Raw genomic sequence first — 12,036 nt, 5'->3', positions numbered from 1 at the left:
GGCCCCCAGGTTTTACTCCCTGAAGACAGGCCTGGGTGCTGAGTGGGTTCCCGCCTCCTTCTCCTCACTGGAGGGCAGCTGAGTGCTCCCAGGAGCACCACCAAGAGAGCCATGGACAGCCGGCTTGCTATGGGCTCCAAGCCTGGTCCTGATCTGCAGCCTGCAGCCCCAGGCCTGAGCAGGAGCAGGAAGGCCTCTGGAGGCTGTGCCTTCTGCCCTGTGAGATGGGCCCACCCCATTCCCTGCCCACTCGCTCCGGGCCCCCAGGCTTGGCACCGCTGCATGGCACCCGAGTAGCAGGGTGAGAAGAGGCGGAGGCGAGAGCCTGCTTGTGTGGTGCGAACCCTCCCAGCCTCCGCTCTGCTAATTAAACCATCTCCTGACAAAACCCAGACTTTCAGGGTATTTGCGAGAGTGTGCGAGCCAGGCCGTGGGTGGCTTCAGGAGTCTGTGCCGCCCGGCCGGCGGGCCTGGGCCTTTGCCAGCGCCCACCCTCAAGATGGCCATCAGAGAAACTCAGCAGGCAGCGCCCAGAGCAGGGCACTTCAGGGGTGCGGGGCCCACTCGCCCAGGACGGAGCTTCTCTTGCCACGGGACATCTCCCCTTCTTTATTTTCTTCCTTCCTTCCCTTCACATGTGGGCAGCTCTGGCCAGAGGTGGCCTGGGAGTTCACCCATCCCTTGGTGCTGAGTTGGCAGAGAAGCCCAAATTGGGCGCAGACCGTAGCCACCTGCCCCTCCCTACCTGCCCCACTGGACCCAGCAGTCCCTCCCTGTACTTTCTGGGGGGTCTGGAGGCCCAGTTCTGCCAGGCTCAGGATGCTGCAGAGGGGGAGGGTTCCCTAGCTGAAGCTGCCGTCCTCACAGTGCAGCTGAGCAACAGGGACCTAGAAACAGCTGCCAGTGGGCACCGCCATCCCCGGGCAGCAGGGAGACAGGAGCAGGCAGGCGCCTGAAGAGTTCTCATCCGCCTGGAGTGCTCTTGTGCCTTTGCAATCTCCTCCCAGCAAGGGTAGGCAGGAACTCCCGGGCCCAGACGCTGAGAGAGTGGGTGAGCGGGGGACCAGCAAGGGCCACTCGCACCCAGCTCACGGAGGGACAGGCATCGGCTCTCAGCTCTGCCGGGGGAGGCCCTCGAAGGGACACAGCTGGCAGTGTGCTTGGAGGGTATGGGGACACGGCAGCCCCCCACAGGCCTGCCCTCTTCCCCTCAGGGAGGGGCACTGCGGCCAGAGCCTGCCCCTTCACAGAGCAACTCTAGGCACAAAAGGGGGAGAGGGTAGGGTGCGGTGGCTCATGCCTGTAATCCCAGCACTTTGGGAGGCTGAGGCAGGCGGATAACTTGAGGTCAGGAGTTCGAGACCAGCCTGGCCAACATGTTGATACCCCCGTGTCTACTAAAAATAAAAAAATTAGCTGGGCGTGATGGCAGGCGCCTGTAATCCCAGCTACTCGGTGGGCTGAGGCAAGAGAATTGCTTGAACCCGGAAGGCGGAGGTTGCAGTGAGCCGAGATCATACCACTGCACTTCATCATCCTGGGCAGCACAGCGAGACTCAGTCTCAAAAAAAAAAAAGAGGGGACAGGAACGACCACTTGCCTGCCAGCTCTACCTGGCAGACCTCACTGTAATGCGTCGCCCGTGCCCATTAGGGACCGTGTCCAGCCTAGAGGAAGCTCGGGGTGATGAACCTGGCGCCACCAGCCAAGGCCGGAACCTCTTCTTTCAGGAAATTGGCCTGCTTTTGTCGGCAGAACAGTGGCTGTTCGACCCCCTGCCTGCCCGTCACAGTGCTCTTGGCTGGCCCTTGGCCAAGGCAGGTGGTGGAGCCGGCGGGCAGCCCTGGTCCCCTCCTGGCCTCCAGGGTCTGGGCACTCTCACAGCGTCTCCTGGCAGCCTGGCTGTGAAGTGGGCCCCACGCTGTCCCCACGCTGGAGCTCTCAAGTGGCAGTTTGAAGCAGCACTGTGCTGGCTGCAGCGCGACATATCCTGCAGGCTCATGGGCCCCTGGGGGGTGGGGGGACCACTGCTGGAGACTCCCCAGGGAGAAAGCGAGGAGCTGTCAGAGAACCCAGGCTCTGCCCAAAGGCAGTCAGCTCCCTCCCTCGGCTGCCCCTTCCCCAGACCCTCCCCTCAGCCTCGCGCTCCTCCATTCAGGTCTCAACCCCTGACTTGGAGCCCCTCTTGGCCTATTTCAGGAGCCCCCTGCTCACTTCCTTCAAGGGCTCCGTGCTAGTGCTGGGGGTCCAGTGTGCAGCACCTCCCTCCGCCTGCTGCATCTAGAAACCCAGCCCTCCTCAGACCTCCGCTGTGAGCTGGGGATTCCAGTCCACACATATGCCATCATCCGAGTTACTCAGGTGCAGCTGGGGGAAGCCGCCTTTCCTTCCAGAAGCATCCACTAGCAACCTCAGTTCTCTACTTCCCTCCCACCAGCTCTGCCAGCCTCCAGCCCCCAGGGACAGGTGCCCTCTCACTCAGCTCCCAGCTCTCTGGTTTCCCTGCACCAGCAAGAGCCTGTGCCAAGGGATTTTTTGCCTGTGTTGGAAATCTCCCACCCTTTCCCTCCTTCCCATAAACATGCTCTCTCTGGCCGAGAGCAATGCTGTGCGCTCGGCCCAGGCGGCCAGACTTTGTTAATATTTACAGCGAGTGGCTCAGGAAGCTATTAGCTTCCTTTTCTTGTTGTTAATTGAAAGAGGAGAAAATGGTTGTAACACTTCAAAAGAACTTAAAGTGCGCCTGAGAGACTAGCTGAATTGGGAGGAATGGGGGAAAAAGAGAGACTATTTTAAATAAATAAAGCAAGCAAGCCAGCCCACACCTCACACGAGAGTGGAATGTCGTTCCTTCCCCATCTTTGCAGACGCCTGGCTTTCCTCTGAGGTTTCCTTAGTGCCTCTCATTGTATATTTTCCTTTTCATTTGGGAGCCTGCCTTAAGGAGAGAAGCAGGAAGAGAAAGCATTCGCGGCACACTTTTGTTAATAACGAGGCTCTTTGAAGCCACAGCTAACGAGGCCCCTAGTACTTTCACTCCTGGAGCACACGGGGCTGGGAAACCTGTGGCTACCTCCCCTCTTGGGACACAGGCCCAGATGGGACATTCGGCGAAATCCACTCCTGGGCCCCCCAACCTGGATGTGACCTCTGGGAAGTGCTTCAGCCTCAGTTCCCCTGTGAACCCCAGGCACAGCCAAGGATGCCGTGGTCGTGGGGTCAGGGGTGACTTTCTAAATCCTGGTAGATAGGGGTCAGCATTGAGAGGCCTCTGGCCTCTGTGGTCAGCCTCCCTGAACCACTTTTCCCAAAGACAAATGGTCCCGCCCGCAGCAGCCACACACTGAGCCTCCGGAGTCTGCCCCATGACGTACGCGACCCAATGGCTCTGCCAGTCAGCCTGCGGTTAGGCAGGGGCAGGGATGGATGACTCAGGAGGCCTTCACTCCAGGAGCCTGCCATTCATTTCTAACTGACAACTGTTTCTTCCTCCAGGAAGCTTCCCTGACCCTTCCTTGTCCCCAGCCTGCTTAACTTTGTTTTTTGGGATTTTTTTTTTTTTTTAAGTTGGAGTCTCACTCTGTCGCCCAGGCTGGAGTGCAGTGGCATGATCTCAGCTCACTGCAACCTCCGCCTCCTGGGTTCAAGCAATTATCTGCCTCAGCCTCCTGAGTAGCTGGGATTTCAGGCGCCTGTCACCATGCCCGGCTAACTTTTTTTGTATTTTTAGTAGAGACGTGGTTTTACCGTCTTCCAGGTTGGTCTTGAACTCCTGACCTTGTGCTCCACCCGCTTTGGCCTCCCAAAGTTCTGGGATTACAGGCGTGAGCCACCACGCCCAGCCTAAGCTTTGTATTTTTAATAGAGTCGGGGTTTCACCATGTTGTCCAGGCTGGTCTCAAACTCCTGACCTCAGATGATCTGCCTGGCTTGGCCTCCCAAAGTGCTGGGATTACAGGCATAAGCCACTGCGCCCGGCCCTGGCCTGCTTAGCTTTGGCCTCTCAGGCTCCCCTGGCACCGTGCTTTCTATCAGCCAGCTATCCTCTGCTTCTGCAGAGCAAGGTGATTCACTGTACCAGACACAGAGGGACACCTTGCCCCCAGCTTCTGGTTGCTGCACAGGCTGTATTAATGGAGGAATCAATGGTATATTGAAGGAGGTGATCACTGTACCACCTCCTCCCTCCTTCCACCCTGGCCAGGCCAGACTAGAACACTGTTCTGTTCTGGGCTCTTAGAGACACACAGCCACACTACAGAGCGGGAGGCCCAGTGGGTGGGGAGTGACCTTGGCCATGACCAAGAGGGGGTGGGGCTTGTTCAGCCCTGTCCAGGGAAGAGGGCAGTCTCCTGTCTTCAGCAGAGAAGGAAGACCGACCTGTTCTGGGAGGCCCAAGAACTGGAAGGACTGGGAGGGAAGGACTGGGAGGGATGGAGTTAAGAAAGAAATCTGTACCAGGCAGAGATGCCCAAAGGTGGGCCAGGCTGCCCCCACCAGGGGCATCCATACCTAGTCTACATGGCCACTGGCAGAGATGCCAGGCAGCGGTGAGCATGCCAGGTGGAGGCCTGGCTTCCCGGCTCACTCAGCCCTTGCCCTCTCCACCGGGGAGTATAATTGTCTTTTCCCAATGGGCCGTGAGCTCTTACGGGTAAGGACTGTGTCCGCAGCAGTGACAACACCAGCAGCTGACTCGATCGAGTTCTAGATGGCCCAGGCACACAGAGCTGAGATGTTGATGTGGATAATAATAATAATACTAACAACAGTAGTGGCCGCCCTGTGTTGTGTCCGAGGCAGACACTATTCACACGTCGCCTCACTGAATGCACAGGCACTGTTATTACCATTCCAATTTTCCACCTGAGAAAACAGATATTCAGGAGCCTGCCCAGGGTCCCACAGGGGGTCTGCTCCAGAGCCTGGATGCAAACTCACTCCTCTCTCCACTCCGGGTCCTCAAGGCCACACCAGCCACTCCGGTGTGGCCAGGGACTAAAGGTTGGCTGGAGGCTGCAAGCCGAACTCCCTCTGCAGGGTCACAGGGCACATTAGCATATTAAAGGATCTGAGAAGTCCTGCGGCAAAGATGCCAATTGAAGTTTGTTCACTCCAGCGGTTACCCATTGACTTTGTCTTTGGTGACACGTGTTAACCTCCCAGCGTTCATGTCTTCTTCAAACCATGCTTGGGGAGATGCTGTGGGTGTTCATGCACCCGTTTACTCAGGCTTTTGGTAAGGGGCTGCTGTGTGCCATGCAGGGGCCTGGTGCTGGTGACATGCAGTGGTGAGGATAGGCCTGTCCCTGCCCTGTGCCTCCCTGGTACCCAGCTGGTGGCTGGCACACAGTGGCACACGTGCCTGCAGCAAGTGAGGGCTGAATGAGAGTGGGAGTGGACGGGGCAGAGGAGCCGGGCTGGGCCATGGGAAGGCACGTGTCATGACCACACGCGGTCTCTGAGCGGCCCCATCTCCTCCCATCGTGGATGCTGTGTCAAGACCTCTGGCCACACCCAACCTCAACCTCTCCAGCGGCACATAGGCCCCTGGGAGGCCCCACCAGCCCTCCATAGGCAGGGTCAGAGCCCTCTGCCCCCACCCCAGGACCCCTGCCAGGCCCAGCACCTCTTTCCTTCCCTTCAGGCTCTGTGTCTCTGGCCTTGACATTCTGATCACATCCCCTGGCCTGCCTGGAATACTAATTCTCCCCATATGAAACCATCCGTGTTTAATTTTTTTAAGAGGCAGACAGAAAGACAAGAACAGGGGAGACGTTAGTGGGTAGGAATTAGAGCCCTCTTTGGAGCCTGAGACTGTGCAGTGACTCCACCCACTCGGGATGCCACGGCGACCCTAACACGGGCCAAGCTTGGAGGCCAGGAAGGACGGTGGCCTTTTGAATACACCAGAGTGTGCTATGGTCCTGGCTTGGGTGGGAGGATTGTTTTTTGGGACCCTCAGGAGCTGAGATCACGTGGGGATAGAGGGCCGGCAGCCCCGCTGTCCTCTACCACCTGAGAGCCCAGAGTGACGCCACTGCCCTCAGTATGCTTCCTGCAGCCCCAGAGAGAGGCCTCGGGACACAGAGAAGAGTGGCCAGATGGTGGGATTGGCCCAGCAGCCGCTCTGGTGCTCCTGCCTTTGGCTGTGCTGGGCCTCAGCAGCCTCCTGGGGGACTGGGGTAGTGGCCCACTGTCAGGAGGGCTGTTGTGGGAAGAACAGTAAGCCTTGCTGGAGGGGACAGGACAGTGCTAATGGCCAGTGTCCAGGTGGGGAGTTGGGGCCCCTCGTGCAACTTCAGCAGCTGTGCCCCTTGGGCCGAGTGTCTTCTGAACATCAGTCTCCTTATCTGTCGGATGGGGGGATGGTGGCGGCAACGTCCTAGGCTGTGGCAAGGACTCCAGGAGGTGCTGTGCAAACGCCCGAAGGACTGGCCCAGCTCTCCCTGGGCATGCACCTCAGCTACTGTTGTAACCCACCAACCCCAACCCCACCCCAGCCTCACCCCTGTAGGCTCGTCCCCCACATCCACCTCCCTGGCACCAGTGCAGCCCTGGGGCAAAAGCTGCGGTGGTGCCACCCGCCCCCCAACCTCCCTACCTGGCATCCTCATGTCCCCAGAGGAATGAATGAGATTGTAACGGCAGGAAACTTGACAGAAAATGAAACGTGATGAAATCAGCTACGTGAGTGATGAAATCCAAATCCCAGCCTCCTTCTGAGGCAGGATGAACTCTGTCCCACACTCCGTGGGCTGCAGACCCTGCAGCGGAGGCTGCCACTGCCCACTTCCCTTGCCCCAGGAGCTGGAGTCTTAGGCCCCCTCCCCATCCCTCTTCTATCCTCCTCCCATGCCCCCTCCCCACCCTCTCTTCCCTCCTTCTCCTCTCCCTTCTCCCCTCCTCCTCCCATGTCCCTCCTCATCTTCTCTTCCCTCCTCCTCCTCTGTCTTCTTTCTCCCCTCCCTCCTCCCCCTTCTCCTAGGCACAGTCAGCAGTCAGTAACCAACTGACCCAGAGGTCAGAGGTCAGTGCTGCAGATTCTGCCAGTGCCCCCTACAGGGCAGACCAAACTGTGACCACCCTGGCTGTCCCTCCCCCTGCCCTCTCCTGCTTTACTTCGTCCCTCAGGGCTCCCTGGGAGTGCAGGGCTGGACCCGACTCGGGCTCTGCTTCTGCAGAGCCCCAGAGACAAACCCCAAGTGCCTGGTGGAGAGACGCCGCCACCCCGCCCCCCTTTTAGTCTTGGGATGTGGTGGAGAGACGCTGCCACCCCTGCCCCCATTTTAGTCTTGGGACGTCCCCGCCTCAGAGAAGTGGTCTGTTGGTGGCTGGGGACAAGGCCTGGGGCTGCGCAGTGCTCCAGCTGGGACCCCTCCTGCGGCGATGGCTGGCCACAGCCTCCACTTCCTGCCTCATCCCGGAGCCTCCTGGCCCAGCCACCTGTGAGCAGGCAGAGCCGGTCGAGGGAGGGCCCGGGGAAGCAAATGTGGTTATTTGGCCTCCTCCTCCTCCTCCACCTCAGGGGCTGCCTCGTAAATTATTATCGACCCACTGCTGCCCGGGCTGGAGGTGAGTTGAGGAAATAAAGCACCAGGCTCAGTAATTGTGCCCTGCTGCCTGAGTTTACTTATTTGTGGCTTTCCTACCCACTAAGAAACGAGACGATAAATAACTGCTGACTATTAGACTCCCAGACGGGAAAAGCAACGCACGATGCATTTCCCGAGGATGAGCAAAGGCTGGAGACCCACACGCCCGTTGGCCTTTCCCACACCCTGTCACCCTGTGGACTCAGGCTGTTCGGGGCCTGAAACCTGGGGCCTGGGAAGACAGGCAGAGATGAGTCCCTAGCCCCGTGGGGAGAGGGTGCATATCTTCCCCTCCCCCAGCCCCATTCTAGAAGGTTCTGGGCTCAGGATGACACAGCTGTTGAGTCCAGTCACAGGCTTTGTGTTTCCCTTTTGTTTGTTACTTGGATGGAGGGCCTTGTCATAAGTGCTGAAACAATGAAGACGCCATCTTATCCAATCCTCTCACTTTACAGGGCGTGGGGGGCAAACTGAGGCTCAGAGAGGTGAATGCCCTGCCCAGGGTCACACAGGGCAGAGCTGGTCTCGACTCCAGCACCATCATCCTCCTCATTCTTTCCCTGGGGGCAGGACACCTATGAGTGGGCACAGAGACTGGCATTAGGAGCCCTTACCCTCCTCTCAGCCCTGCCCCCACGGGACTGGCAGCTTCCCCGATGGCACTGTCTCAGGGCCTCTCACCCTCCCTCAAGAGCCCCACTTTGTCCAGGCCCTGGGCCAGCTTCTCTCAAGGCATCACCTCCACCCCAGGAGTGGGGCCAGGCTGGGACTGGGGAGTTCCTTGCTCTGAGAACAGTCTCCCCAAGTTTTCAGCCGCTTTCTCTGGTCCGTGGCTGCCGACCCGGCAGCTGGGAAGGAAAGTGCATGGATAACAGGAGGAGGCTGGAGAATGCCCTGGGGGAGTCAGGGGAGGGGGCTGGACCCACACCTGTGTTGAATCCCACCCCTGCTCCGTGAGGTGACGACTCCTCCATGTTACAGATGGGGAATCTGGGCTCAGAGATGATAAGCCTCCTGCCCCAGGTCTAGGGGACTTGCGGGCCCTATTTTGACCGAGTTTGGGTCCGAATCCCTGGCACACTGGGACACTTGGCTGCCCTACCCCGGTCTCACAGCTGGTAAACAGCAGCACCAAGCCCTGCTCCCCCACCCAGAGCCCGGGGCCCTCACCTCCGCGGTGCAATGCCAGCCCCTCAGCAGAGCACTTGTCCCGTCAGATCACTCCCCGACCCGCCCTGTGCCTGGAAGGCTGCTGGTCACCAGCGGGCTCCTGGGCTCCTGCCTTCCGGCTGGGTTCACAGAGGAGCCACAGCAGCAGGCCGGAGGGAGGGAGGACAGCCGGCGGGGCACGAGTTCCTGAGGCTTCCCTCTCTTGTCAGTGGCCCTCCCAGTGGCTTCGGTGGCTCTCTCTGAGTCTGGTAACCTCTGCCTCCTCCCCAGCCTCCATGGTGACAGCTGCCCACCTTCCCCTGTTGGTTTCCTAACCCCGCCCATGACTTTGTGAACCGCACCTTCAATACACCCGATTCCGCCTGCGATCCTGCCTAGTGCCCCTGCCAAGTAATAACAGAACAGCCACTCCCACCCACCAAGAGCCCATCATGTGCCAGGCTCTGTTCAGTCTCTTACTGTCTGCTGTCGTTCATCTCGTGCTCTTAGTGACCTGGGGAAACACACGATTATCCCCATTTCATAGACAGGGCAGCCGAGACCCAGAGGGGTCGAGTGACTTGCCGTGGGTCACACAACCAATAAGGGTGGCCTGGTGGTGTGTGCTGATGGAAAAACAAAACCCGGGGAGGAGGAGGAGAGACCTGCTCCAGGCCAGGAGAAACACACTGTAAAGGGTGGTGCCACCTGCAGGTGAGAGGAGAGTCAGCCTCTGCCGTCCTGGTGAGGAAGGGGAGGCTAGGCAGCCAGCTCCTGAGCGCCTGCCCTGCCCCAGGCCCACAGCCGCACCTGCAGGGCTCACAGGGAGGATGCTTGTGCCGGCCTTCCACAGGTGAGGACCCCGAGGCCCGCAGACAGTCACGCCCAAGGCCCCACTGCCCCCTGGTCTATGCTGCCCCTCCCTGGCCCCGCCTGGCCACCGAGCCTAGTGACGCAAGGTCCCCCCATCTCCTGGCTACGGCTCCCCTGGGTGCTTGCCTGGTCCCTCCCCAGAGGAGGCAGCGACTTTTACCAACCTCCCCACCCTACACCCCTGGAGGAGTCTGGCTGCTTTGGGTCCCTGCGGGGTTCAACTTTATTTTTGCAGAGCACTTTCTGAGTAACAGAACTCCTGGGGCCCTGGGGTGGAGATAGAGGGGCCAAGTGCCTATGGGAAGAGCCAGGGGAGGCCCAGAGAGCCAGTGACAGGGCCACCAGGGCCTCCACCACCGGGGTGTTTCCACACCACAGCCCCTCTCGAGGCCCTCCCAGCTCTGGCCCCTCGAACAGCTGAGGAGGCCCGGCCTCCCCTCCTGACACAATCCAGGCCTCTCCACCTCTCCCCTGTCGCAGAAAGAAGGAGCTAAGCCCTGTGTACCCACTGCCTTCATCTCCTGAAACAGCCCCCAGGAGAGTGGTCTGTGGACCCCACAGTGCAGAGAAGCCAGCCCTGGGCAGGCGTCCAGCCTCCGGTCATTCAGACGTGCACAGCGTGCTCTGTGTACTGGGTGGACAGGGTGAGGGACCACAAGGACCAGGCCAAGCATGCAGCATCATGAGATCATCACAGGAGAGTGAATATGAGGACAAGGACCCGTGGCTGCATGTCCTGCAGGGTGGCTGGGGCCGCGGGCAAGGCCAGCCTTGCAGGCTGCAGCGAGTGAAGCTGCAGGATGCTGGTACCAGCTGCGCCCATTTCTTGGGGACTGCGTGCTTGCCTCCAAGCCCAGAGCTCCAGCAAGGGGTGGCAACTGTGGAGAGGTGTGGCCAACTGGACCCTGCCCAGTCTGGTTCCCAGAGAACCTGGCTTTCTTGGGAGGCAGACGCACCCCGGAGTCTCCTCGGGCTGGGGACAACCGGCCTGTGGTCAGGGCTACAGCCGTGGCAGGGGTGGCAGGGGTGGCAGGGTTGGGGTGAGGTCTGGGTGGCGGACCCTGTTCCCACATCCGAAGTGACAGGAGCAGGTTGATTTCCCTGCACAGAGGGCATGGAACTGGGGCAGGGGCCCAGGAGAGCAGTGGGGGCGCTGCACAGGTGCACTTCTGCCAGATCCAAGAATCGGAGACCTCACTGAACCGTGCCGTCATTTATTTTAATGCCTCTGTGGCCCACATTTGGGTCCAGGTGAAATATGGCCCCATATCATTTACCAGTGGGGATGTTAATTGTGCTTTGCTGTGGGAGGACAAACACATCCAGGGGGTGTCGGTCACTGTGGCAGCTGTTCAGGGTGGCCACGTGGCTGCTGTGTAGGTGGAGGCCGGGGAGGGGTCATCTCCCTGCGTCAAAAGGCTTCTCTTCATACCCCGCCATCAAGGAGAGAGGCAGTGACAGCTCCTGCCAGGACAGGGAAGGGCTAGCGGGCTGCCTGCTACCTCCCCTCCCAGCTCCATCCCCAGCCGCCACCCCTAGCACCGCCTGTGGAAGTCACGGGCTAGTTGGAGGAGCGGATGAGGGCTCACGTCCAGCTCCACAGCTGCTTGGGTGATCTGGGTGTGTCTACATCTCTGTACTGTGAGCACGAGAACCTTCCTTCTTCATGCCCTTCTCCCCCTCTCTGTCTTCCCTGAACACATGATGTGAGTCCCTGGAGCATGAATAGGAGTCTCAGACAGAAGTGGGGCTGCAGGGGCCGGAAAAAGCACCCCAGTCGCAGAACCGCTGTGCAAAGGCCCGGAGGCAGGAGGAAGGCTGGCTTTGTGGCTGTCCTGAGACAACTCAGCCTGGGGCAGGGCGGTCAGCTAGGGGACCTCAGGGAAGGGCCTGGACTTCCTCCTGAGGGCATGGGGAGAGCAGAGGGACAGGTTTGGACTGGAGAGTAGAAAGCTGGGGGTGGGGAGGGAATGTTCCATCCTCTGAGCTCGGGGGTAGTCACAAGGGCACCATATGCATATGTAAGATTCACAGGTCTTAGAACTGCACACCCCAGGCTGTGCAGGTGCCGGTATGCACTTTACGCCTCCTAAAACCACAATTCAACAAAGGAAGCCTCCCTCTGGCCCCGAATGCAAGACCTGGGGCAGGGTGGGCTCTGAGCTAAGCCCCTCCTCCCCACTCCAGCCCTGGGGGATCCCACTGTTGAGTCCCGGCTTCCCCTGAATGGCTGTGTGTGCGCAGCCACCCACCCCACCAGTGCTGAGTGCTCATGGCCTGGCCCAGCCGACTCAGCTCACAGCCCCCAGGGCTCCATAGGGAGGGAGGGCAGGGACAGGCTGTGGCCACCTCCACCCCCACCCTCCCTCCCTGAGCCTCCTTTGAGGCTGCAAGCCCACTAACCATCTGCTGAGGCAGG

At 59.8% G+C, this 12,036-nt stretch overlaps 2 protein-coding genes across 9 annotated transcripts in view, besides 3 other annotated features; one reads left to right on the top strand and one right to left on the bottom strand.

Moving 5' to 3' along the window:
- MACROD1 (mono-ADP ribosylhydrolase 1) overlaps positions 1 to 12,036 on the top strand; it is a 167,556-nt gene that overhangs the window by 68,119 nt on the left and 87,401 nt on the right. The window lies entirely within an intron of this gene.
- FLRT1 (fibronectin leucine rich transmembrane protein 1) overlaps positions 1 to 12,036 on the bottom strand; it is an 83,241-nt gene that overhangs the window by 21,177 nt on the left and 50,028 nt on the right. Inside the window, exon 1 of one of the 6 annotated variants that reach the window (XM_047426699.1) lies at positions 2,826 to 6,802. The exons of the other annotated variants lie outside the window; for them this stretch is intronic. The gene's annotated coding sequence lies outside the window, so the exon portion shown is untranslated. Of the gene's footprint in view, positions 1 to 2,825; positions 6,803 to 12,036 lie in introns of those variants that run through there. 6 annotated transcript variants of the gene reach the window in all.
- Positions 3,237 to 3,744: an enhancer, noted in NCBI's record as "H3K4me1 hESC enhancer chr11:63861723-63862230 (GRCh37/hg19 assembly coordinates)". NCBI's record gives its function as "activates a minimal SCP1, AML or CMV promoter by ChIP-STARR-seq in primed H9 embryonic stem cells {active_cell/tissue: H9 hESC(primed)}" and the evidence as "EXISTENCE:reporter gene assay evidence [ECO:0000049][PMID:30033119]".
- Positions 3,244 to 3,538: a silencer, noted in NCBI's record as "tiled region #12931; K562 Repressive DNase matched - State 8:EnhW". NCBI's record gives its function as "represses a minimal TATA promoter and a strong SV40 promoter by Sharpr-MPRA in K562 cells {active_cell/tissue: K562}" and the evidence as "EXISTENCE:reporter gene assay evidence [ECO:0000049][PMID:27701403]".
- Positions 4,074 to 4,744: an enhancer, noted in NCBI's record as "H3K4me1 hESC enhancer chr11:63860723-63861393 (GRCh37/hg19 assembly coordinates)". NCBI's record gives its function as "activates a minimal SCP1, AML or CMV promoter by ChIP-STARR-seq in naive H9 embryonic stem cells {active_cell/tissue: H9 hESC(naive)}" and the evidence as "EXISTENCE:reporter gene assay evidence [ECO:0000049][PMID:30033119]".

Source organism: Homo sapiens, chromosome 11 (genome assembly GCF_000001405.40).
Source record: "Homo sapiens chromosome 11, GRCh38.p14 Primary Assembly".
NCBI lineage: Eukaryota > Metazoa > Chordata > Mammalia > Primates > Hominidae > Homo > Homo sapiens.
Note: the sequence above shows the minus strand (reverse complement) of the source record. Positions and strands in the feature narration are given on the sequence as shown.